Below are 26,381 nucleotides of genomic sequence, written 5' to 3'. Positions count from 1 at the left end.
GCAGCTGGGACTACAGGTGCATGCCACCACACCCAGCTAATTTTTGTATTTTTAGTTGACACGGGGTTTTACCGTGTTGGCCAGGCTGGTCTTGAACTCCTGACCTCAGGTGATCTGCCTGCCTCAGCCTCCCAAAGTGCTGAGATTACAGGAGTGAGCCACTGTGGCAAGCCTCAAGTGGAACTATTAATAATACATAAATGAAAAAAAAAATCAAGGTCTCAGTCACCCTGGTAATCTCTGCAGGTGAGGATTTGACAAGGAAATATTGTTGACCACACTCTTACATGTCTGGACTTCAAAAGAGAACTGTGGGCATCAAAGAAACAGGGCATTTATTAAACCTCTACTATGGGCTGGACATACATTAGACATAGTGTCTTTTACAAATTTCCTGAATATTCTCATAGGTTGTTCCATTATATGAATGAGAAAACTGAGGATCAGTCACTCCTCTAAAATCTCACACATGGTGAGGGAACTAGGATTTCATACCAGGCCTGCTGAGACAGCACATCTCATGTCGTAGCCATCATGGTGTGAAGCCTCCCCTTCCTATTGCAAGGCACAGGTCAGGGACAATTCCTTACATAACAATGTGGGGCTGGGTTTGTATGGTCTACGAAGATTCTCATCCCTCTGCCACTGCCAACATCATGCCTGTGCACACTGTCAGTATCCAGCTGTGAGGAAGCAGAAATCAGACCTCTCAACACTGTACTGTTTCCCATTAAATGAAGCTCAGAGGCCGTAAGATCAGGGTTAGCAGTTAGCCTATTTGAAAGTTCTGGTTGAGATTTTCTGATTTCTAAAGTGCTGGAATAGGCCAGGCATGGTGGCTCATGCCTGTAATCCTGGCACTTTGGGAGGCTGAGGAAGGAGGATTGCTTGAGCCCAGGAGTTCAAGACCAGCCTGGACAACATAGTGAGACCCCCATGTCTATTTTTAAAAAGTGCCCGAATATATACATCTGTGGATAATCATATATCAGGATGATTTAAGATGGATGTGGTATAAACAATGTCAAAACACGTATCAGGAAGTTTATATCCTTCATGATTATCTTTCAATACTTCAGTTATATCAAACAGAAAATTGCTAATTAGGGCCAAAATGCCCCTACACCTGACACTTATTAATCCCTCTTTATAAGAGAGAACATGACTCAGACCCAGAGCTTTCAGCAGCTGCAAATTAAGAACATTATTTAATTTTTCTTACATTTAAGTTTATTATTAAGGTTGCCTTCTATTTACGATGTGATGTTGGTTTTCCATGTGCAATTTCTTTTTAAAAATAAGTGTATTTTAATTAGAAAACAGTGGATCATTTAAATAAAAATATCAAGTAAATGAGAGCATTGTACATATAGAGATGCCAAAAAAAATGTGAAAGTGGTTTTCAAATGACTGAAGTTTGAGGAACGATGCATGAGTGTAAACCAGAGAGCAGTTTCAAGTCATTGCAGAAAAAAAGGAAGGGACACTGAATTAAAGCCAACTGTCCTTACTTAGTCTTAGGGAAATGACTAATATTTTTTTTTCTTTTTTTTTGGAAATGGAGTCTCACTCTGTTGCCCAGGCTGGAGTGCAGTGGCACGATCTCAGCTCATTACAACCTCTGCCTCCTGGGTTCAAGCAATTCTCCTGCCTCAGCCTCCTGAGCAGCTGGGATTACAGGCACCTGCCACTATGCCCAGCTAATTTTTTGTATTTTTAGTAGAGATAAGGTTTCGCCATATTGTTCAGGCTGGTCTCAAACTTCTGACCTCAAGTGATCCACCCACCTCAGCCTCCCAAAGTGCTGGGATTACAGGAGTGAGCCACCACACCTGGCCTAATATTCTATTCAAATATACCACAGAGAACACACCTGAGCCCTTTCCCCAAAATAGGAAAATTTAATTAAGATTAGAAGAGAGACATACTTATGGTAATTGGTCCATCAAAGGCATTGGGCAGGTCTGTGACTGATGTACAATCTTCTTCAGGTGGAGCTATGAGGTAGGAAAAAAAGGATGAGAACCCTTTAAAAACATGAGGAAAATCTACCCTCATTTTTATTAGTCAGTTAGAATGGAGTTTTACTATAACTTATTCCAAATAACTTTCTTTTTCCGAAACTCCTAAGTTGGCTAGGAATTTCTCTGCCTTTCCTGATGGATTTTCCGTTTTTACCTGATTTCATAAATTTCTGGAACTTATGAAGTTTCCGGAAATTTTCCCACCACAGTGAATTCATTCATTAATAAATATACATTCTATATCAGGCACTGTGGAAGCCTGGGGGTACAATTTTAAATAAGATAGACACGGCTCCTTCTCTAATGCAAACACATTAGGGAGGATTTTTAAAATTTGTGATTACAAAAGTAATGCAGGAACATTGTAAAAAAATTTAAAAGTAAAGTATGAACTATCATGAGAAAATCATTTATAATCTGGGAAGTCCACAGAAATGATGAGAAAACATGGCAGACACACAATCAAATGTTTATCAACATGAACAGCATGACAATCTGAAGGTTAAAATAACATAATCACAACAAAGAATTTACTCAGTTGAAATATTAAAAACCAAATGAATCTCTAGTCTTTCATTAATGTAATAATGTATTTATTAATTTAGCTGATCTTTTAGGTGCTTACTCTGTATAGACTGCTTCTCAGCATGTTGCTTCTGAGGTTGACCACCTTTGGCCTAGGTGCCCAGAATATTTTTCAAGGTTACTGTTTTGGCATATCTCATCATGGGCATTTCTGGTTTTTTTTTTCTCTTGTTCTCGTTTTATCCTCTACTCTTTCATCCCTTGCTTTAGGAATAAAGATTTCTGCCTGAATCTTGGGCCTGACTGATCATCCACAGATGTTACTGGTAGCCCTCTGAGCAGCACTGTCTCAAGCGGTCTGATAACAGGCCCTGAAACTTCCACCCTGCATTCCATTCCTTGTGTCTTAAAAGCAGACTGCAGTGTAGCTGAAGCAACCTTCTATTCATGCCAAAGTGCTTTATTCTGTGACTATACCTTGTATTGAGCTCTAAAACCTCAGAGAGCTTTAAACTGGTTTTGCCTTTATAGAAAGGTTAAGTCCATTTGTGCATTACAGCTTTTATTCTGTGTGTGTGTGCATACTTAAATTAAAATGGAAATTTATTTGTTAGGTTAGTTTCTCCCAGAATTGCTCCTGGCAAAGAGGAAGAAGGAGATGGATGGATGGAGATGGATGGATAGATGGATGGAGAGAGGGAGGGAGGAAGACAGGCAGGCAGACAGACAGACTGCTATCACAAGAAAGGCTGTTATCACAAGTATTTTAAGTGTCCTGCTATAATTTTTGTGTACTTATAAAAGTGGATAGAAACACAAGTTGAACAAAACAGGTTTTGTTTGCTTCCTAGTACCTGGGAGCATCTTTTCCCACAGATAAAAAGGATAACCTTAACCTGCCCATTTCTTTGGGCAGTTAGTGGAACTAACTGGCAGTTTTATACATTCAATTGGAAAAAAACAGAAAGTTTTAGGAAACACCATTCTTGCAAAGCCTGTCCTAAAAGATTTCTCAGATTTCTTTAAAGAGAAGTATCACCTCCTTGGCGAGGCCATTCCTTACCATCCAATCTAAACTGCTTCATCACTCCCCCACACCTGTCACCATCACATAGCATCTTGCTCTCATTTCTTCTTCATGTTTACCACCATATAAACTTATCTTGTTCATCTTACTTGATGGCTGTTCATGGCACTTCTCTCAATCTCTGCCTTCTGCTACCTGCCTCCCTCCCTAGAAATGTATAAGCTCCACAGATGAGTAATAACTTTATCTGTCTTGGCCAGAACATTTATGTGTGATGGGGACAGAGAAACATGCAATAAAAATGTGTTGAATGGATGAAAAAAGAAAAAAGTACCGATATAATTTCCCAAGGGTCTATTCTTCCAGTAAACACACCTAAGATGTTAGCCCCCTAAATGCATCTCCAAATATGTACAGGTCACGCATTTAGATTATCCTTAAATGGTAATGCCATAAGAAATAATTAAAGGAAGTTACAGATATAACTCTTCATTTATTATTTTTAAGCATCTACTCAACACTTATATGCCAGACCATATAAAAGGAGAAAAGAAGATGAGCATGTTTCTGTCCCTGCTTCTGATAAACTCACAAGGTCATGGGGGACTGTAATAATTAATATTAATTTAGCTTTTTACAGTTTTCAAAAATATTTTCCAAAATTATTACACTTGAAAATAAGGGCATATAGCCAACCTGGGAGATTTAGGGGAGTATCTATCTTGTTTCTCTTGGAAATATCAGCAGAAACTGACGCAACCTATGAGATGCTTCTGATATTTGTATGTTGTGCATACCTGGAACCAGGCTTTGGATTATGGCTTCTTGATGCCAGGGATGAAACAATCTCCCCTAACTTCAAATATAACTGCAAGTAACAGTACACTGGGAATTTCCAGGCAGCAAGTTGTAATAGAATGGAGCATGATGTCACAAACCCTAAGACAGTTTTGTAAATTATTAGAGCATTTGTTCACATGGACCCCCTTCATGCTCCAATTCACCTTAACTTTTATAAAGAACATCAAATCTGGCAAATATGCTTAGTGGATTGACCCAAATGTGCAATTAACAGACTCATGCTCTCATGTCGGATTCCAGGGCCTTATTAGATAGCCTTTCTTTCCATTTAATGAGCTCTGTACTGCTTGGAAAGCTAGACCTGGTGAGGTGTTCCTGAATCTGAGGACTTGTTAGAAATTCTCTGAGGTGGGCTTTCTCATAAACCTTGGCTTCAACACACCAAAATAACCAAGAGAAACATTAATTATTCAGTCTAACCACTAATCTCTGGTTGCCAGATAGAAAGGCACCCTCTTCAATGCTTGATACATTTTAGGTATCTCATAAATATTCTCAAATAGTTGTTGAATAAAGGAGGAAATGGATAAACAAGTACATGTAGAATCTTCCCTTTAATTCTACCCTCAAAAGAAAATGAGGCACTTGACTGAAAGCAAGCTTAATAAATGAATCAATTCAAGTCAGTTCTGTGTTCACACAGAAGTCACCAGGCTCACGTTGGGCCTCAACCACTGAAAATGAGGGAAAAAAAATCACAAAGGCCTTTTCAAGTTCTGCCTTATTTTCATTTGTTAGCCACAGGCCATGTTTTCTAAAAATACTGCTAAAACTTAAGCTTATGGAAGCTATCTACTAAGATCAAGCTGACTTTTATCCCTGTAGCCGTTTTATGGGGGGGATCACAGCACTGGGACATGACCACCTGCTAGCAGCTTTCAGGCTAAATTAGATTCAGGGATCCTTGCAATGAAATCTTTGCATAGGGCAGTTTATCAAAATCTTTAGCTCACTTAATACCCCTATCATCTGACTCTAATCCAAGACATTCAGAATTTATTTATCCTTAAACACATTTATCCTCTTCTCCAGTTTCTTTCTTTTTTTTTTTTTGTCTCATTGCTTCAACAAGATTGTTAACTCCTTTAAGACAAGAAATGTAGCCTCCAGTTCTTTCTTACTCCATCTCTGCCTAGTGCAGTACTGAGCACATAGAGGTGATCAATAAATATTCCCTTTAAACTTAAATAAAAACTTACAAAAGTAGCCATCAATATCGAGTCAATTTGGAAAATAGACAAAAGGAAAAATATTACTTCTAGCTTTATTATTTAATTCATCCATTTTAGTAAGGAACATACCCCCTGTACTTCTCAAGCTTTTCAACTGAACTAACCCTCCAAAGAGAAGAAAATTAATCAATGCTCTTGCTCCCAACTCCAGGTATGGGCCCAACCTCATGAACAAAATTAAGGATAGAAACAAGTCTCAGTCGCAGCCTGCCTAGATGGCTTCGATGCCAGGCAATAAAACAGTGTGAGCTTCTATCTGAGTTGAGGTTCCTTTTAGCAAGTGAAACCAACTTGCAAAACAGGTAAGACAATGTGGGTATGCAACTACATAATTTATTGCATACATTCACTCAGCAAGACTCAATGGGAGATGCAATAAGCAGTGCCCAGAGACTCAGGAGTGTATAGCCTCATGCCAGCCCTTTCCCAATGAGTCAACCTCTTCATCTAAAGCACAAGCTTTTCCCAATGTCTCCCTCTGACCTGTTGCACTGAGATGGAGCTAGCTAGACCACATGTTGCTCTATGTCTATTTCTTACTTTTTTATATGTGGTTTTCTCATTATAATATCATTAGAACGACATGCTAGACATGGGTATGGGAACTGAGTATGTATGAGTCGTGTACTACTTAGTGTTAATTGGACTCCCTTCCCTTTAGTCAAACTCCATTTGTGTTCTTCACTCATATAACAGGGAGGAGTAAACATTCTACAGTTTTCTGTTCCTGTTTCGTATGTCTCTCGATAGATTCAGTGACCTGTAAATTTTTGTCAAAATCTACTGGCTTCACGCACTCCATTTCAACTAGCCAGCCCTGATACTTTGTCCTAAACTCTAGATTTCTTCTCTGAATTTCCACTCTGATCCCTACTGTTCACACAACAAAGGGTAGGTGGTGTAGACTAAAGCCACTGATGTAATCTCACAATTAATTTTAATTTTTGGGTTTTTTTTAGTAGTGAGTAGAAGAAAGATCTCATAATTAAGTTGATGTCCTTTTTATAGTTTAAAAATCCATGCAGCTTTTTATATTTTACTACCATATATATGGTATATGTATATTTATATTTGATGTATATGGTATATATATCTGTGATATCTTGATTTTATATATATAAATGTGTATATATTTATATATACATATATACATATATATAAATATAAATTTATATATAATATATAATATTTATATATATAAAATTTATATATATTATATATAATTTATATATAATATAATATATAATATATATTATATATTATATTATATATAGAATTATATATAATATATATATATAAATTTATATATAAATATAATTTTTATATATTTATAATATATATTTAAATATATAAATATAATTTATATATAAATTTATATAAATAAATATAAATATATAAATATAAATTTATATAAATGAATATAAATATATAAATATAAATAAATATTTATAAATATATATAAATAAATATATATATAAATATATATATATGTATATGTATATATCTGTGTTTGTCTCAGGCTGATAATGTCTTAAGTCCCTTTCCAGCTAATTTAACATCCCCTTCACATCTTTAGGGAAAACTGACACTCCAGCAAGATGTACCAAGTTTACCTCAAGGCTTCATCTTTCCCTTCACCCAACTTCAAACCTTCCATGGGAACAGAAGGCCCAGTTTAAGAGGTAAGACTTTTGATAGTTGGCATCGAGATATTTGACATTTATATTTTGATCCTTCTCAAAAAATTCTGAAAATTCATGATGCATAGAATTCTTTAATTTTGCTAGGACTTGAATAAGGCTCATAAGCCTGATTTTCTAGGTTAATGGTTGGGAGAAAGTCACAAAGACATAGAGAAAGGCTGGCCTGTGTCCTAGCATCTACATCTTAACTTAGGTTTCTTCTTCTCTGGTTCTTTCAACTGTTGGGTAAGGGATATTTAAGAAGGTCAAAGGCATACCATATACTCTCCAAGGCTTTTTTCCAGCCCTCTCATATAATAAATACCTCTCAGCTAAGACATTTGACTTACACCCCAAAGCTATCATTAGATTCATGTCACTCCCTTATTCAAAACCTGTAATGACTTCCCATCACACTGAGAATGAATCACCCCGTTAGCTGGCCCTTGCTTAGCTCTCTGACTTTATTCCTTGGCATTCTCCCTTCTGAGCACTGATATTCTCAGAACAGTCCAGGAGGCACTTTCCCTGACCACCTTCTCAGAAAATAAAAGCATCCCTAGCACTCATTAGCCTCGTATTTTGCTTTCTTTTTTATAGCACTTTTATCACTTTCAGACTTCATATAGGGCAAGCTTGTCCAACCTGCGGCTCACAGGCCTTGTGTGGTCCAGGATGACTTTGAATGTGGTCCAACACAAACCCGTAAACTTTCTTAAAACATTATGAGATTTTTTTTGTGTGATTTTTGTTTGTGTTTTAGCTTATCAGCTACTCTTAGTTTTAGTGTAATTTATGTGGGGCCCAAGACAATTCTTCTCCCAATGTGACCTAGGGAAGCCAAAAGATTGGACAGTCCTGAATGGTATTTAATATTTATTTGTTTATTGTTTGCCTCCCCAATTTAGCATGTAAGCTCCATGGAGACAGGAATGTTGGCTCTGCTGTACAGATATTCAGTGAGCATTTGTTATGTAAATGGAGGCTACATGAATCCCCACTTAAGCTGAGCTCCAAAGACCAGGCTCCCACAGCCTTTCACGCCAACAGACACCCCCCTGAGAACCAACCTGAAGCATTGAAGCAATATGTGTCATACTGGGAGGTGTTGGATGTGAGGATGTACACCCCTGTGTTGTTTGCTGCACAGATGGAGTTGGGGTGGATCCGGGGAATCACCACGTGCCCTTCTATGAACCCATACCTGTAAGAGAAAAACAACAGGATATTGACCTAAATGGCTAAGATGGGAATTTCATAATATCCCATTCAATGACATTTAATGCCGTGCAACACTTCATTCAGTTCACCCCTAGGGATATCGGAGGTTTCAACAACCGAGTTATTTGAAATCCAAAAATAACAGCATAGAGAGGGAAAGAGATCAACAAGACTGATAGAAACAAAGTGATTTTATTTAGAGACCTATAAAGAGCTTTAAAAAAAAATCATGAAAGGAATAATTAGTTTCAGTTAAAATTTGTGTTCAGCAGTGTTGAGTCTATTTGAACAAACAGAAGGAAGCCTGAGTCACAGAAGAGAGAAGTTTTGATGTAAGATTCATGCTGGCTCTGGAATACCTTCATGTTTTCCAGAAAATACACAAAATGGCCAGCTTCCATAGATAGGAAGGGGTGCTTCTTTATTTCAGTGCACACATTCCAGACCTGCCTCATGTCCCATTCCCCCACTTCTTTCTCAGCCACAACTTTTCCTGTGAGTCCCCTTACTCCATACTCCATTGCCCTAAACATGAAGCCTTGTTTATATGCCAAGTACACAGCACAGCACACTGCCTCCTGAGCATTGCAGGCATAATTCTATTGCCAGTGGGAATAAATTAACCATCATTACAATGGGAGTCATAGCAATTAAGTAAGCAGATAGCAACGGCTCATGTAGCTCAGGAACTTTCCAGAAGTAGCACAGCCAGAGAAATGCATAGCCCCTCTCTCCCCACCAAGGTATCTCTGGGAGTGTGTTACAGCTGGATACGACATACAGATACAACATACACAGCCCAGCCTCTTCTAGCAGCATCCTGGTGGCTAAAAACTTGCTTATTTTTTAATTGTGCTAAAAACACAATTTTTTTTGAATATAAAATGCCTCAAAAAATGAGATGTGGGCTGAGAAAATGCCATGTGCAAGGGAAGCTGTGGTGCAGCAGGAGGGCAGAGAGGAGGAAGCTAAATCCAGCAGGTTTTTCAAAATGCAATTCTGGCTAAAATGCACATTGATGCTTTTCATCTTTCCTGCCAGGGGCAACAGCATGGAGTGCATCACCCTGCACGACCCATGGAAATGTCTGTGAGTCTGAAGTTTCCAAGCACACAGAACTCCTACCTATGTGGCAATTGTAGCTCGCATGACTAATTTCTCATCTGAACAGACAAACTGGTTTCCCCAAAGCCTCCTTAGCTTGGCAGGGGGTGTGGGCACAATTAAATGGTAATAAGTTTTCATATATCTAAGAGTTGCTACCAATCAGGGTGGGGCAGACAAAAGAGAGTAGCTGCTAAGGTTTTATCCTAACCCATGAGACTCTGCCATCTGTCCTGTGGCAGAAAGCTGATTCATAGCTACCTGAGAGAAATTATGGAAATGAGTTTTGCAATACTTAATACCAGTTATGGGTGAAATGATAGATTTCTTTGGCACAGTTTTTCTAAATAATACTTCTTGGTGAACCTACCCACCAACTCACCCCCATCACATCATGTCATCAAGTATGGATAACACCAACATTCTAGAATCTATTGCATTCTCTTTGTAAGCTATTACTGAGTTTTTGCCACCTCATGTTGCCTACCGGTTTTATGGGTCATGCTAACTGTAAATTGGGGATATTAAAGTTTATATGTGTGTATGTGGCATGAGTAAGTTACTGTTCACAAGGAGGAAAGAATATTCAGCAAATCCAGGAAGCATACTTTCCTCCCCTTTTAAGCCCCTGAGGAGGACTTGGTCATTAAAATCCTGTCCTGGGCTGAGGCTAAGCAGAACCAGAATCCTAACTCCTCCATAGGCAGGCTGTGTGTGCAAATTCGCTAAGCCTCGGCTGCTTCATCCATAAAATGAGGTGATAATATTGACCAATACTGCAGTTTGAGGATTAAGTGAGGGGTTTGGCCAGGTGGGCAGTAGGGCTCCCAGCATCTAAGTGCTTGATGATTGGCCAGTGGCAGTTGTAAGAACTCCCCTGGTCCTCAGCACATGGCAGCATATCTATATTTTGCAAGTATGCCTTGTTTGTATTTCACAATCAAAGTTCAGCTTACTAAATTCACTTTCTTAGGCCAGTGGCCTAGTCAGGGCCATAATTAAACAATTAGCCTTGGGAATAGAATAATGGATTTGCTAAATGGCCTTTTTTCATTGCATCCTACAGTGCAAGTTCAGTAGCCACCAGAGCTTTCTCCCTCTCTCTGCTCCTTTCATATTCCCCCAGACCTAGCTCTGAACACATACAGATGTCTATGTACATCTGCTCTTTATTTTAGAGCAGTGCTCCTCAATAGAACTTTCTGCAATGATGGAAATGTTCTCTAACCTGGGTCATCCAGTACAGTAGCCACTGGCCATCGGTGACTAACCGAGCACTTAAAATGTAGTTAGTGCTAGTGAAGAACTAAAGTTTTAATTTTAGTATTTTAATTAGTTTAAGTGTAAGTCACCACATGTGGTTAGTGGCTACCATATCAGACAGGGCAATTTTAGGCAAAAGACTTTCCTTTTCCCTTTCAGCAAGAGTCTCAGCCATCACTCATAATGTGGGTGCATGACTGTACCCAGTGTTGGAGGATAGAAGCACTTAACTTACACTTCATGGTTTCCGTAGAGTTCTGCAGCTTGACTTTTCAAAAGCAGTCTGTGTGCATGTGAGTGTGTGTTGCAGAGAAAGGGGAATCATATTACCTAAAGACACTGCAAAAGCACAGCTACAGGCTGGGGTAGAAACTTCAGAGCAGTTGCAGAGGTTACTCAGTCCTCTTCTAGTGAAAACAAATCGAACCACAACAATTCACTGTGATTGCCACCGTGGCTTGCTCTTCTTGTGCACCGCTTACCGCAAGGCCATTGGAAATTCAAAAAATAAAGTCCTTGCTTGTTGTGATTATCTTGCTTGGAGCCATAGTTTGAGGAAGGCTCTATGCAGCTCTAGAATAACTGGTAGGAGCCCTCTCAGGGCTCCCAAAAATAATATATCTTAATATAATATAGCTTAATAACTTTCATGCCTTTTTATTTACTTTTTCAAACCAGAGAAACATAGAAGAGAAACCAAAAAAAATTTTTTTTAAGAGAGAGTAAGAGAGAGTAGTTTGAAAAGTCTGCTTTGATCCAAGTCTGCAGGGCCAAGACTCTAACAGCCACATATTTATTTCAAACACTGTTATTTGGTTTATGTTTTCTTGTGGTTCTGACAATGATACTGCAGCTTCTTCAAAGCCAGGAGAGCTCTGTGGAAGCAGGTTAGACAAGAGGATTCCAGCCGAGAGGACCCCTAATGGCTTCCTCTGGGTTCCCGCTCTATGATTCACAAAGGTGTCTTTAGCTGACTTTAAACTCCAGTTGTCATACAGGTTGCAGATTGACTTGGCCAAATTAATACGTGGGGTTGACTCCTTAGGCAATAATCCATTCAGCTGTGGGAAAGGAGCCTTCCAGTTCTAAGCCCAGCTGCCTGGTCCCAGGCCGCCAGCTTTCCCCAGTGGTCGGGTGCTGGTCTCTTACCTGCAGGTCTCAAATCCGATGCTCAGAGCTTTCTCCATCTGGGCCATTGTGGGCAAGGTGCTATTGAAAGCCTTGCAGAGGTCAGCGGCCTCCGTCCGAGAGATGCTGTAGCGACCATTTTTCTCCACGTGGAATACACCTGCAAAGCGGCAGGTTATATTCAAATCTATGGGAAGAAATAGAAATGTTAGATTCTTTTGCATAAATAATTTGGAGACAGTAATAAGTTCAGTTTAGGACAGACTCCTTAAAAAGTCAAATAAGGCCGGGCGCGGTGGCTCATGCCTACAATCCCAGCACTTTGGGAGGCCGAGGTGGGTGGATCACCTGAGGTCAGGAGCTCAAGACCAGCCTGGTTAACATGGCGAAACCCCGTCTCTACTAAAAATACAAAAATTAGGCCGGGCGCGGTGGCTCAAGCCTGTAATCCCAGCACTTTGGGAGGCCGAGGCGGGCGGATCACAAGGTCAGGAGATCGAGACCATCCTGGCTAACACGGTGAAACCCCGTCTCTACTAAAAATATAAAAAATTAGCTGGGCGTGGTGGCGGGCGCCTGTAGTCCCAGCTGCTCCGGAGGCTGAGGCAGGAGAATGGCATGAACCTGGGAGGCGGAGCTTACAGTGAGCTGAGATCGCGCCACTGCACTCCAGCCTGGGCGACAGAGCAAGACTCCGTTTCAAAAAAAAAAAAAAAAAAAAATACAAAAATTAGTCAGGTGTGGTGGCACATGCCTGTAGTCCCAGCTACTTGGGAGGCTGAGGCAGAAGAATCACTTGAACCAGGAGGCAGAGGTTACAGTGAGCCGAGATCATGCCACTACACTCCAGCCTGGGTGACAGAGCGAGACTCTATCTCAAAAAAAAAAAAAAAAAAAGAACAAACAAACAAAAAGCCAAATAAACTTCTCTGCTAGCCAGAGCCTTCAAAATTCACTCCAGCATTCCAAAGCACCATGATATTAAGCTCAAATCTGAGAAAAGACATGGTAAAATAATATCACTCTTACATTCTCTCCATTGATTGCTCTGCAACAAAGTTTTTAAAAAGCAAATGATTTAATTTTGATTATTGATGTCATACAAACTTACAGAAAACTTACAAAACACAGGAAAGCAATGAAGGAAAATAAGTCCACCACTACAAAAACTACAGCAAACACTTTTCTATATCTTCTTCCAGTTTGTTTACTGAATACACACATTCACACGTGCACACATGCACACACGTACTTTATGCATATATACATAAAGTATGTATCTATATACACATACACACATACACACAAATATACATACTCACACATATGCTTGCATAATTGAAATGGTACTGAATATACAGTTCTAGATTTAAGAGTCATTTTTCCACTTAATCTTATGTTATGAGCATTTTTTCACAATCAAGTGATCTCTCCCTGGCTTACAACCTCCAAGAGTTTATGTTCATACCCAGTATAAATGTTCTTATTATGGCTAAAACCAACATAATCTGGCTCCTGGCTCCCTCTCTAACCTCAAAGTAGCTTGCTCTGCTCTAAGCACAAAGCTTGTCTTCAATTCTCTCAGACATTCTGAGCTCCTTCCCATCCTAGAATATTTGTATCTGCCTTCCTCTCTGTCTGGAATGTTCCATCCTCAAATGGTCACATAGGTGGTTCATTTTTTTTATCATTCAGAATTTTAACTCCACGTCACCTCACTTTAGAGTGCTTCCCTAAACACCCTTGTCTAACCCCCAGTCTCTCCCTCAACTCATTTGGCTTTTGTGTCTTCACAACAGCCTGGTCATCTATTGATGTGTGTGGTTACTCTCTTTCTCTCCTTCCTGGAATGAAAGCTCTGAGAAAGCAAGGGCCTTTTACTTGCTTGCAGCTGTTATCTCTAATCCCTATAACAGTACCCAATAGAAAGTAGATGCTCAACAAGTATTTGTTATATAAACGAATGACTCATTGAAATTTCCTCAGAAACACACTTTTAATATATTGGCAGACCAAAAGCCTGTCGTTTGCTCTCAGAGTTAATGGCATTGAAAATGAAGCCTAACTGCTATCAGTTGGGTAAAGAATTATTCAATACAAGGACTTTAGTGAGTTTTGTAGACATTAATCTGAAATTCCAATAGAGAGCTAGAAATCATCCTCTTCTACTTGATCCTGTGTAACAATCTCAAAAGACTTCAAAGGCTGTAATTGAAAACTCCTGGGACTATATGACCCCCGGTTTACACTTGAGGAAACTGCATGCAAAGGGTTAAGTCATTGAAACTATCCTGGTGAAGCTTATTCCTCCTGAACACTTCCTCAGGCCTCAATGACTGTCCTTCTCTAAGAAGACATGTTGACATCCTCTTGGGACAATGCCCCAAGTGCCTGGCCAGGCACCACTCCTTGTTGTTAGTTAAGAACCAGGTCTGGAATCAGACAGAACTGGCATTAACCAGCTCCATCTCTTCCTTGCACAGTTCTAGTGGTGGGTAGGAAGATTCCACTTATTTACCAACAAGAAAGTTGAGGCTCAGGGAAGTGAGTTGCCCAAGGAAGTGAGTGAGTACCTCTATCTAGAGCCTATAGTCTCCTTTCTGAATCCCAGTTGCTCTGTTCTGTATTTCTGAGCTGACAGCAATAGGAGAGGGGACCTATTACTGCAGTGTCCCTGGGTACCCAGTACCTTTGAGATTCTGTGTTGCATCATCTTCAGAAACCTGAAAGGTGAGTTTTATGTATGTATGTATTATTTATGGGTGAAGCTCAGAAAAATTAAATGACTCCCCAACGTCACCCAGCTCTTAAGTGGCAGAGCAGGAAATCTATCTCAGACCTGTTTACCACCCAAACCCATGATTTGAACCACTTTACTATGTGCCCAAGGATCCTTTTCTATCATTAGTGCAACTGAAGAAAGGAGAGAGGCACACCTAAACAACTGTTAAATAATGACAAAGAGTCATTATTATTGAATTGTATGGGCAACCACTGCTTTCTCTTTCCTGAGCAGGAAGCAGGTCTCAACCACGAGGAAACAATGTCTAACAAATGCAAAATGAGGTAAGAAAACTGTTAAAATTCTGTATTATCTTCCTTGATTCTGAAAATAGTAAAAGAAGAAACAAGAAATGGAACTTGAAAAGACATAAGCCAATGTCTATTATTTTTATTTTCTTTTGTTTGCATCATTAGCACATGGGGGGAAAATAACAACTAGGTGAAATGGAGAAAATGTGTTTTTGCAGTTCACTCTTTTTCAAGCCTAATGGTGTTCTCTTAAGCCACTCATGCAGCACTCGGCTGATGGGGCAATGAGAGGATAGAGAAGGAAATGCATAAGGCCCTTTTGCAATACTATTTGTTTTTACTGACATTTTCAACTTTGGCCTCAGTTGGCCAGTCTTACAAAAGGAAACTGTCAATCTACATGACAGACCTTCCGGGGCCTCTCCTTGTCCAGCACACAAAAGAAAAACAAAGCATTCCTATCAGCTTCTTGAAGATAAGGCTGATAGGGGAGCCTCTGATTCCAGGTGAGGCAAACTACCTGTCTGCCCCTGGCCCAGGTGGCTGCTGTCACTCTCAGGTTAAAAATCAACTCTGAGGCATGGACAATAATTGGAGCTCAATGGTAGTTTCTTTCTTATTACAGTCAATTCTACCTTGCCACCTGGCAGACAGAATATGCAAATGTAAGAGGAACCAATTGAGGCTGAGACTTTTCAGTAAAATCCCTTGAGTTTCATGAGTTTCAGCAAAATCCCTTGAGTTTCAGAAGCCAACATAACTTCACTGACAATACATGCATCCATTGTGTGAGTGTGTCTATATGACGGGTCTTCCAAAAGTTCCATGAAAAATACGTGCTATGAAAAAACTATACATAGATTTCAAATTTTTTTTTTTGCACCAAAATAAACTCTCACTAACTTGATATATCTGAACAGGATCTAGTTTGAGGCACTAACAAGGATAAGACATGTTTGAAAAGATCCTCTCTCAGAGCAACATGAATTCTGCTAAAATTGAAGCAAGAACACACACCAAAATTTTTGGTGAAGCTTAGGTGGAAGAATGAAAAAATCATTGATGCTTTATGAAAAGTTCATCAGGACAATGTCCCAAAGAAATCAGCAGCTTACAAACAGATAACTTGTTTGAAGAAGGGACAAGATGATGTTGAAGATGAAGCCTGCAGCGATATGCCATCCACATCAATTTGGGAGAAAAAAATTAATCTTATTTGTGACTTAAATGAAGAGGACCAATGATTAACAGCAGAAACAATGGCCAGCATCATAGACATCTCAACTGGTTCAGCTTACACAAATCTGACTGAAAAATTAAAGTTGAGCAAACTTTCCACTCAGTGGTTGCCAAAACCATTGTGCCCAGATCAGCTGCAACCAAGAGCTGAGCTTTCAATGGAAATTTTAAACAAGTGGGATCAAGATCCTGAAGCATTTCTTTGAGAATTATAACAGGAGATGAAACATGGCCTTATGTGTGTGATCCTGAAGACAAAGCACAATCAAAGGAATAGCTACCAAGAGGTGGAAGTGGTCCAGTCAAAGCAAAAGTGGACAAGTCAAAGCAGGTGGACCAGTGTAGAGCCAAGGTCATGGCAGCCGTTGTCTGAGATGCTCAAGGCATTTTGTTTGTTAACTTTCTGGAAGGTCAAAGAACGATAACATCTGCTAATTATGAGAGTGTTTTCAGAAAGGTAGCCCAAGCTTTTGAAGAAAAAATGTATCGAAAAGCTTCACCAGAGAGTCTTCCTCCATCATGACATGACAATGCTCCTGCTCATTATTCTCATCAAACAAAGGCAATTTTTTTGAGAATTTCTATGGAGAAGCCATTAGGCATCCACCTTATAGTCCAAATTTGACTCCTTCTGACTTTTTTTTTTTTGTTACTTAATCTTTAAAAATCTTCAAAGGGCACCCATTTTTCTTTAGTTAACAATGTAAGAAAGATTGCATTGATGTGATTAAATTCCCAGGACCCTCAGTTCTTTAGGGATGGACTAAATGGCCGCTATCATAGCTTATAACAGTATCTTGAATGTGATGGTGCTTATGTTGAGAAGTAAAGTTTACATCTTTAAACTTTTATCTTTTAATCTCATTTTTCCATGAACATTTTGAATTCTCCTCATACTTATATGTTTGTATGCAAGTGAGTGTGTGGTTGTATGTGCATGTGATCAGCCAAGACAGGATGAAACAGACAAACTCAACCTTTAGCCTTCCTAGATGTGAAGGCTTAAGCAGGTTCTGACACATTGTAGGTATCTGCAAAGGGCTGCTGATTGGATGAAGAAATCCTATGCAAAGTAAAAATTCCACAGCTTACATTTATCTTGATCTCATGAGAAAGTCCAACTCCTAACCCTGACGCTATTTAGCTACTTAGGAGTTGCAAGAATGGTGTCAAATACTTCATTTCTGGTCAACTATCCTGTGAATGTTCACAATCCTTCTACTCTAGGTCCCTCTTGACTTAAAAGGAGCCAACATTTTCAAGGCTGTGTGTCATTCAAACCCTGATAATTTATGAAGACATTTCATCAGGTTTCCTTGATACTAACGCAAACCCAAATTATTACCCGGGAGGATATTAATAATGCCAACAGCAAGAGCAGTGGCTAATATTTATTGTGCATTCATTGTGTATATGCCAGGCTCTATTTTAGGCACTTTAGAATTATTTACTCATTTTATCCTTAAAACATTCCTATGAGGTGGGTAATATTAGTATCCTCATTTTCCAGATGGAGAAACTAACACACAGAGAGGGGAAGAAATAAAGAAACATGCCCAAACTCACAATGAAGTAGAATTAAGGCAAGGTTAAGATGTGAATAGCCATGGACCACAGAACATTGCTTGACAGAGTGCCAGTGTCTCTGGCAATGGTGCTAGCCATGCTGCAAACCACTATAGAGAGGCAAGACTCCTCAGATGTCTGTGTGTCTCTCCTGAGAAACAGAGAACTCTGTGATTCAGGATCCACTTTGATTCAAGAAGCTAATACTAAATGGCTGATTGCATCTCTCAAACAAGCCTTTCTGGCTGGAAATAAACCAAGAATGTTTTCCGTTGAGCCCTCTGGTCTCCAATAAATCTCCTGCATCATGTAATGAATAAAATGTCCCAAGTGCCTCCCTCTGAGCGATAAATGAGCTCAACTGAAAACACTGACTGTTTGAGGCCACTTTTGGATTTGGAGAGGAGACTTCCCGTGGTAGAAATGCCACCAGGCCTTTAGCACGCTCATTACTATAGGGCTGTGGGCAGCACAGAGGGGTCATGGAGACCAGTGTCCCAGTGTCTAGGAACCTTATCTCCCTACCCACATGGGAAGAGGTCTGCTAGGGAGCTGTCAGGAAGGCGAGAAAAAGGAGCTCTGAAAGAAGGTTTTTTTGTCCTATAAAGCTGGTCTGTAGTGCCAAACTTTTATGAAGGTCAGTAGTTCAACCTAGTTAGGACCTCCTCAAACCTGGTTCAATTCCTGACCCTGCCACTCACTTTAGGTGACACAGGTTGTTAATTACTTAACCTCTCTGACTCTCCACCTCTTCCTTGATGGGATGACAATGCGAACCTGTCAGGGTTTATGGGACTATTACATGAAATAAGGTATGTCAAACACTTGATATGGTGTTTGACACTTAATAATCAGAGCCAATGAGCATTGCACACTTATTAGGTGCCTTATGTACTTCAGCTAATTTAATTCTCATAAAAATGCTATGAGGTAGGCACTATTGCTAAACCCATTTTAGAGATGAGGAAACTGAGGCACAAAGTGGTGAAGTCCTTTGCCCAATGTCATCCAAGTGGGAAAGTCAGGATTCTAACCTCTATGCTATGTTGCCTCCTATTCAGGCTCCTGGTTACAGGTACTATGCATTCTCTCCTGGATAAACCATCACTGATCCCAAATGCCATTAATCTCATCTATACTGCCCCCTAAGCCTCAGATCAAGGAAAATAGATCTCTGATAAAATTGTCCGAGCACATTTCAAAGCTTTGCCTAGATTGTAGGGCCTGCGAGGAATAATAGCTTCTTGGTCCACCCCAGTTATTTCTGAAGTTGTAGAAAATCACAACATGTGCTGGGAAGAGAGCACTGTGTAATTTTCACCCAAGTTGCCATTATCTACGTCTTCCCAAACTTTCCTGAGAGGTGAGTGGCCTGGTACTAGTATTGGAGCTGGGCTGCAAGGGATTTTCAATATGGAATCCAGGAGCTGGTCAATACATCCATGGACCTGTGAGATTATATGCAAGATTGTGTGTATGGATGTGTGTGTGTGTGTGTGTGTGTGTGTGTTTAGGTAGGGCAACATCTCTGGTTTTCATTGGTTTTCAAAGTCTGTGACACAACCAGGTAAAGAATTACAAGAAATTATTATCTTCAAGGTCTCTAGTAACCAGAAATTCCAGCATTCTGAAATTTTGGAACTTCTCTGTGGGCTTCGTTGACAACAGAAATGGTGTCTCCCTTCTTCACAATTATATTCCCAGTACCTAGTACAGCCTCCCATGGTAGGCAAATGTTGAATGAAATAATGAATTAATAAATGCTCTCTTTCTGCCCCCAACCCCCGACAGGCTGCAGTCTTATAGGGTGCAAAAAGATCACCTATCAGGTTCCTTTCCCACATCATATCTGAGGAATCACCAGCTGGTGTTTGCTGAGAATTCCTTATTGGATACTTAAAATGTCTTTAACCCAGAACTTTGCTTCTGTGAACATTTGCTGTTTTCCCCGAAAGCAAATGTTTCAGAGACCAACTTTTAGTTTTGTAACTGGCTTTGTCTGTCTGAATGTGCAAGCTATCATCTCAGTTACAGGACAGTATGTTCACATACCATCACAGGGCCATTTCTGAGGCCAGATCTCCTAGGGAACATGGCAAACACAGTACATTCCATATGAAGACCACCCAAAGACAACCTACAGTCATACTATGCCCAAAGAGAGGGCACTGTCAGTTCTCCAGACCAGACGTCTCCAGATTCTGCAAAATGAGTTAATTTGTTTTCTAACTTGAGCCACCCAGGTGTGCCTGATCCCTATTTGTCATCTCCTCAGGAGGGATGAGGCAGAATTAGATTTTTGGTTCCAGATTAAGCTATATGTAAGGAGAAGTTGCTTTATCATGAAGATGAGAATAAAGCCAGTTCCTGCTACTCAATGGTGTTCTAATTCCTGCAGCTCCTGGTCCATAACCACAGTGAGCACTCACTGAGTGCCTAGTCTGGGTTCAAGGTATTCAGCACTTTACACCTAATATTTCACTTAATTTTCCTAACAATCCTGTGTGGCAGGCATTTTTATTATCCCCATTTTACACAAGAGGTAACTGATTCATTGAGAAGATGTAAGTAACTTGTGCTAGTCACTGGGGGACCTGGGTTTCAGACTGGGCAATCTGGCTGATCATTTTCCAGTGTTAAATTCCAACTTATGCACAGGTCAGACACTGAAATGACAGGAAGCCCACTTACCCTTCATGTGATTTTTTAATAAAGTGTGGAGAGGTGATCATGAAAAGAGAGCCCTAGAGAGAAGAATTTGAGCTTATTGAATATTATTTTAAGATCAGAAGTCCCTTGATTCTGGACCACAAGATAGGGGCCTTTACCAAGGCCTGGTAAGGCTTCAGTGGAACAAACTTCACTAATGGAATTTTCACTCTCTCTCCAGAGAGGAGATTCTGAAGTCTTGACCTTGACTGGCTTTCCCCAGCAGTGGGCTGACTGCTTCTCTCTGATTCTGCCTGTTGGTCTTCCCATCATACTCTTGGGAATTTAGAAAGCCCAAACCTAGTCGTAGCCCCCAGGCCTCCTGCCCTTTACAGCCTGAATGCTCTCTCTACAATTAGGCAGGGCTCTTAGGAGAGGACTCCAGGACTTGGGGTTGGCCCAGGGTTGGGTCACCAAGGACACAGGCTGTCCTTGTGACATTACGAGATGTCTGCAGCCAAACCCAAAAATCTAGACTGACCAAGCTAAGGCTCCAGGTTGATGTAGCTGGAACATAGCTCTCTGGGTGGACTGCACCCAAAGTGATTGAGCTCCTGGGAGTCAACCACACACAAACCACTTGGGCAGCCAGAAGCACTGGTAAGCTCTCCAAATTTTTTATTTTTACAGTGTTTATCATTAAAAAGCCAGGATTCTATTTCTGTCCTCTGATTTGCTGAGCTCATGTCCAAAACAGATTGCACAACTAATAAATCTTACTGAGCTGGTTCTGATCAGAAGTAGGAAGGGAAAAGGACAAGGTTTTGTTGTTTTAAAGCATTATTGTTAATTGGATTATCTATTTTTAAAGCCAGGAGGCACAATGGGAAGCTTCTAACCAATTTCTCTTGTGACACAGGAGAAAATAAAATCAAGGATAGCCGAGTATGGTCCTCCAGCAAGTTAAAAAACAAAACAAAACAAACAAAAAACAAAAACAAAAACACACACACACACACACAAAACTCAGTGGTTCATAATTGCAGATTTCTGACTCCTACACCAGTGCTGTTGCTACTGATCTATCTTTCATAAGAGGTCTGAGCAAGCTGCTCTCAAAAAAGCCACAACTCACTGTCTTAATAGGACACGAAGAAGTCATTTTCTTCTTCATTTGTTCGAAGGCTTCAAAGCCCAGAAGTTTTCATCTGGGAGTCTTTCTAGCTATTGTGCCCTCTGCTGCCCCCCAGGCCTGCCAGTCTAGAAGGCTGGCACATCACTCGCCCCCATCTCCTGATGCCCATGTGATGGGCTCCTGGTGAAAGGGTGTATTGTTTAGCATCCACTTCTGAATGAGGCCAGAATCACACTTGGTGGCCGAATCGCCTTTGGCTGCCCAGTGCAGACCATGAGTCTTGAGTGACTCAGTCTCTCCCGGAATTGCCCTGGAGGCAGATGAGGGTTTAATGAGCAGAGAAAACAGTCATGCACAATCATACCCAGAGAATTTCCTCCAGAATGTGCCCTGGGTTGCTTTCAACTGAGCTATTCATCACTTGGCACTTAGAAATGCAAGGCACCCCAACGTCTTGGCGCCTGGCTGGACCCCCTGATTTCTCTGCCTTTTTTCCGTGGAGCCTGGAGCCTGTCATGGCAGTCAACGCTGAACCAACATGGAGGGGCCTGTCACATTGGAGAAGAATCCCAAGGGTTCTCCTAGCTGTTACCCTGGCCCTTCAGCCAAGGCCACCAAATGATCAACCCAATGCACAGCCTAGAAAGCTCTTGGGTTGTTTTGAGAGTTTGGAGAACAGTACTGTCCCTGTCTCCTAATGGGATGATGGGGACTTGGAGGTGAGGGTATGGAGAACTGTTTAACCCCCCACTCCTGGTCCTGGATCCAACAGAGTCTTTCTGGCAAAAGAAAGTATATGTCCCAGAACTGTTGCTTCACTGCACCAGAATTCTGTAACACCAAGTAGTCTTTGACGAGTGCGTCTTCAGGCAGAGAAACCACAGTACCCACCCCTGTGTGTTGCCATGGTGATCAGGAAATCCTCTGGCCTCACGATCTTTGTTTTCTGCTTTTTCGGATCTTATTGATTTAGCAGATTGACTAGCACAAACCCAGGATGTGGTAAATGAAATGAAAAAAGCATCTTGGGGCCCAAATAGGGTTTTTCCTCTTGCAAGTAGAAAATAAGGTTGGGCCACTTGGTTTTGTCATTGTATTTTTTTTTCTGGGTAGTTACAATGACTGATACATCACCTAATCAATATACAGTTTCTGCTAATGTCTATAGCTGGCATTTTGTGGAACTGCTTAGCTTTAGTTTGAGGGAAGACTTTCGTAACAGTTGAGGTAGGATGAGAAACTGTTACTCATAGGTAATATCTATATTTCAGGGCTGATTCATGGGTTGCTGACATGCTGAGATAAGCCGGGGGCCCCCATCTGGGAGTGGGATGCACTGGTTCTAGCCTAAACTCTGTTAATTATAAGCTAATTATGTGACCTTGAATAACTCCCTGTAGCTCCCCCAGGCACACCTTGCCTTCCTGCCACCCAAGATGAAATAAAAAGTTATGAAATTTTGGAGCTTGGGGGATAAAAGTGAGAAGGTTGATGTGCATACCTGGGACAGTATTAAAATCTCAAAAAGCTTCTCAGAAACCTCATATGAATTAAGACACATTGGGGCTCCACCCTCAGCAGAACCGAATGGATTAAAGTACATCAGGCTTTGCTATTCTTGCCACGTAGCAGTTTCCTTCACCAATTATAAAGCACTTTCACACCCAAAAGCAGCCTGTGAGGCCCAGAGGGTAGGTACTACAGACCCATTTAAAAGGTGAAGAAACTAATGGACATAAGTTTCACAGACTCAAAGTCTTACGGAGAGTTTGGTAAACCCAGATCTCAACTCAGATTTTCCAGTTCTGCTAATTTTCCCCATTCCCCTCTGGTGCTGCCTTTTCAACTTGGGTTGTCAACAGGCAAATGGGACCAGTGGAAGCATTCAGAGAGAAGATTGATGGTTTTCAGATGTTTCTTTCTCTCCCTGACATGATGTCTTAGGCACAACCACAGTATTTCAAGTGGTTGAAAATCAAGCTGAGCTAATGGGGGCTGGAGTGAGGGTGGAAGGGCAGACCCAGAGACTCAATCTACCAGATGCTCATTCTCTTCCAGCACCCACCCTACCCCATCAATTGTTCTGGCACCCACCACAAAGCCCTAAGAGCCTTGGTGGAAAAGTCTGGAAAATACTGTGGTAGGGGCCAATCAAAGTGACGATGGCCACCACTTAGTAAGTCCTGCAATAAACCAGGGGCTCCAAAGCATTTGGAAACCTAGGAGGGTAAATCATCCCATGCAACGGACATACAAACAGATGCTCAGAGCAATTAGTACAGCTCAAAGGCTGCAGCCCAAATGAAATATATTGTGCAAAAATGCTATCCATGAGCCAGGCTTAGTATTATCATTTTTGTATTCTTCCCTTCATTATTAAGAACACAAATATCTTGCAACTTAAAGTTTTTCATAAAGATTGTCCCTTGCTCACTCTGCAGAGGAGATAGCAAAGTTTGAGTTTCCAATCCTACTCTAAGGAGACTGGGCTGGGTAAATAGTGGACTTGGCCAGATTTATACAATCAAAAACTGCAGTTAAGACTTGTTGTCTTTGAAGATACAGCCATCCAGATGGAGAGAAGCAAAAGGTCACCACCAATTCCACCAGAGCCCAACTTCAACACACAGCCCACGGCATCTCCAAATTTGATTTTCTTTCCTCTTGCCTCTTTTAGCATCTCCTTAAGTGAAAAAGAAAAGATTCTGCAATGTATGGAGCTGCTAATTTGTGTCAGATTGTAGTCTATGTGCCTTAATAGATGCTATACCTTGAGAAGTCAAAAAATCACCCCCATTTCACAGATGCAACAAGTGAGGCTGAGTACAATCCACTCAGCATCCTGCTATGAATGTGGCAAGAGCCAGGAGTCAAACCCCAGGATAACACTTGGTTTCTGACATGAGTTAGCTAAGACTCAGTTTACCAAAGCTGTGCCTCTCTGCTTGGGATATGTGGATTCTCACCCTGGGGCATGAAATGTATGTGAATGGTGGGGTAATGGATGTGGCTGTAACACTAAGGCTCTGGCAGCTTCTACTGCTGAGCCCCCAGCTGGGTTTTCCAGTGATATTAACACTAATAGAGTACCTACTGTGTGCCAGGCTCTGTGCTCGGTACTTCACATGAACTATCTCGTTTCAATCCCACAGTAGTCACATGAGATAAGTACTATTGCGATCATTGAAACTTGATACATATAAGAAAACTGAGGCTGAGAGAGGTGCAAGTTTGCACCAGCAGGGGGTGAGGCAGACAAATCTCTTCTTTCTCAGGGGCCACATGCAAATGTCTCTCTCCTTGCTGCACCTTGACTTTAGGAGGGTACAGACAAGAAGCAGAATCATGCCTCTTCTCAGATAGTTTTAACATCTTGGGTTAGAATTTGCTAATACCATGCACATTTAGCTGGGGGGAGGGAGCTGATTACTACTTTTTCCTCCCAGGAAGTAGCCATGAGACCAAAGAAGACAGGGAGAATTTCATAGAGAAATTGGTCTTGCACTGGGATTTAAGAGGCTTGAGCCTAAACAGGGCTGACCCTGTAGGGACCACAGCAAGAGGAAAAGCTTGATGAATGGACTGGATTTCTGCCTGACTAGTATAGTCCTCTAATTCTCCTATGAAGGATATTTGTTCTTCCCAGGACAGATGCCATCTGGTTCGCATACTCCATAGATTGATGCTTTTTTACCCCTTTCCCCATACCACCACTATGATTCACAGGGTGCACAATGCCAGTCACACTCCAATGGGCACTAACTGCCTTGTAATCCTAGTGGCCTCTTCCCTGTTACTCAAAGAAGCTTATCCGAATGCAAGCAAGTGAGTGTGCATGTTTTTCTAGGAACAACCATGAGTTTCCTTCAGTTTAGAAAAAAAAAAAAAGGTAAATCATTCATAACCCTTGGCACTTGGTGGCCAATAGCTCTTACTTACAATTTACCTTACAACCACCACTGACTTACAGGTGGATTAAAACAGAACAAGATTCATGCCTTTAGGTTATCTTGCCTTCTTCAAATATATTAGCAATGAAGTGATGCAGCTGCAAAAATATTTATTTGCAACAACAAAGCATTACAAGTGACAAAGTAGAGCTCTAAATTTCCACTGATTTCAAAGTCAGAGGACTCAGAAATCACCAGGTCACATGTTGGTGACTCAATCTCTGTCTTTCCTCATGTTCCTCTTTTTCTATCAGATGCTAAAGCGAACATGGGTGTACATGTCTGTGTGTGTGTGCATGTATGTGTGTGTTTCTGTCTGTGTGCACAAGAGCATGCACATAAGAAGCAGGGTCTCCTTCGCAGTCCAAGAACACTACTGCTATTCACTCTTCAGATGTTTTGGGGAGTTACACAAACTTTCCCAAGCAGAAGCCCTACAGAGGGAGAAGCTGGATTGTGGGGATATTTTTAAAATGTGGGCCAAAAGGTTTCCAGGATTACTACAGTTCCAACTGCCCTGTGAACTAATTGCTTGTAATTCACACCTCTTCCTGAGCTTTCAATCCGTGAAATCTCATCTGGAACAACGGATGCCAGTCTCAAATGCCAAGCTCCAGAGAACTCATTTCTGACAAGCTTTTAAATCCAACTCAAGTCACAGGGTTTGGACCAAAATCTTTACCATTCCATGCTTAGCTGAAGCAGGCCAAACATAACTTCCTTCTTTTAAGGAGCATGATCC

At 40.8% G+C, this 26,381-nt stretch overlaps 1 protein-coding gene and 1 non-coding gene across 45 annotated transcripts in view, besides 3 other annotated features; both read right to left on the bottom strand.

Moving 5' to 3' along the window:
• CD44 (CD44 molecule (IN blood group)) overlaps window positions 1-26,381 on the bottom strand; it is a 93,232-nt gene that overhangs the window by 43,574 nt on the left and 23,277 nt on the right. For 41 of the 44 annotated variants that reach the window (NM_001440324.1, XM_011520482.3, XM_005253232.4 and 38 more), the window contains exons 2-4: window positions 12,089-12,254; window positions 8,422-8,555; window positions 1,929-1,997 (exon numbers count right to left, since the gene is read on the bottom strand). In NM_001440324.1, the coding sequence (NP_001427253.1) occupies window positions 1,929-1,997; window positions 8,422-8,555; window positions 12,089-12,254 (369 nt within the window). The remainder of the gene's footprint in view (window positions 1-1,928; window positions 1,998-8,421; window positions 8,556-12,088; window positions 12,255-26,381) is intronic. The other 3 variants (NM_001440329.1, NM_001440331.1, NM_001001392.2) reach the window with 3 other exon arrangements.
• Window positions 15,269-15,770: an enhancer, noted in NCBI's record as "NANOG hESC enhancer chr11:35194606-35195107 (GRCh37/hg19 assembly coordinates)". NCBI's record gives its function as "activates a minimal SCP1, AML or CMV promoter by ChIP-STARR-seq in naive H9 embryonic stem cells {active_cell/tissue: H9 hESC(naive)}" and the evidence as "EXISTENCE:reporter gene assay evidence [ECO:0000049][PMID:30033119]".
• Window positions 22,741-22,800: an enhancer, noted in NCBI's record as "active region_4619". NCBI's record gives its function as "activates an Ori minimal core promoter by ATAC-STARR-seq in GM12878 lymphoblastoid cells {active_cell/tissue: GM12878}" and the evidence as "EXISTENCE:reporter gene assay evidence [ECO:0000049][PMID:35858748]".
• Window positions 23,221-23,270: a silencer, noted in NCBI's record as "silent region_3257". NCBI's record gives its function as "represses an Ori minimal core promoter by ATAC-STARR-seq in GM12878 lymphoblastoid cells {active_cell/tissue: GM12878}" and the evidence as "EXISTENCE:reporter gene assay evidence [ECO:0000049][PMID:35858748]".
• On the bottom strand, window positions 25,819-25,879 carry SNORD164 (small nucleolar RNA, C/D box 164). The gene has a single exon (NR_145794.1). It is a non-coding gene; the product is annotated as a small nucleolar RNA, C/D box 164 (small nucleolar RNA).

The sequence above is a fragment of the Homo sapiens genome, chromosome 11 (assembly GCF_000001405.40).
Source record: "Homo sapiens chromosome 11, GRCh38.p14 Primary Assembly".
Lineage (NCBI taxonomy): Eukaryota > Metazoa > Chordata > Mammalia > Primates > Hominidae > Homo > Homo sapiens.
The sequence above is the reverse complement of the archived record's forward strand: the minus strand, read 5'-3'. Positions and strand labels throughout refer to the sequence as shown.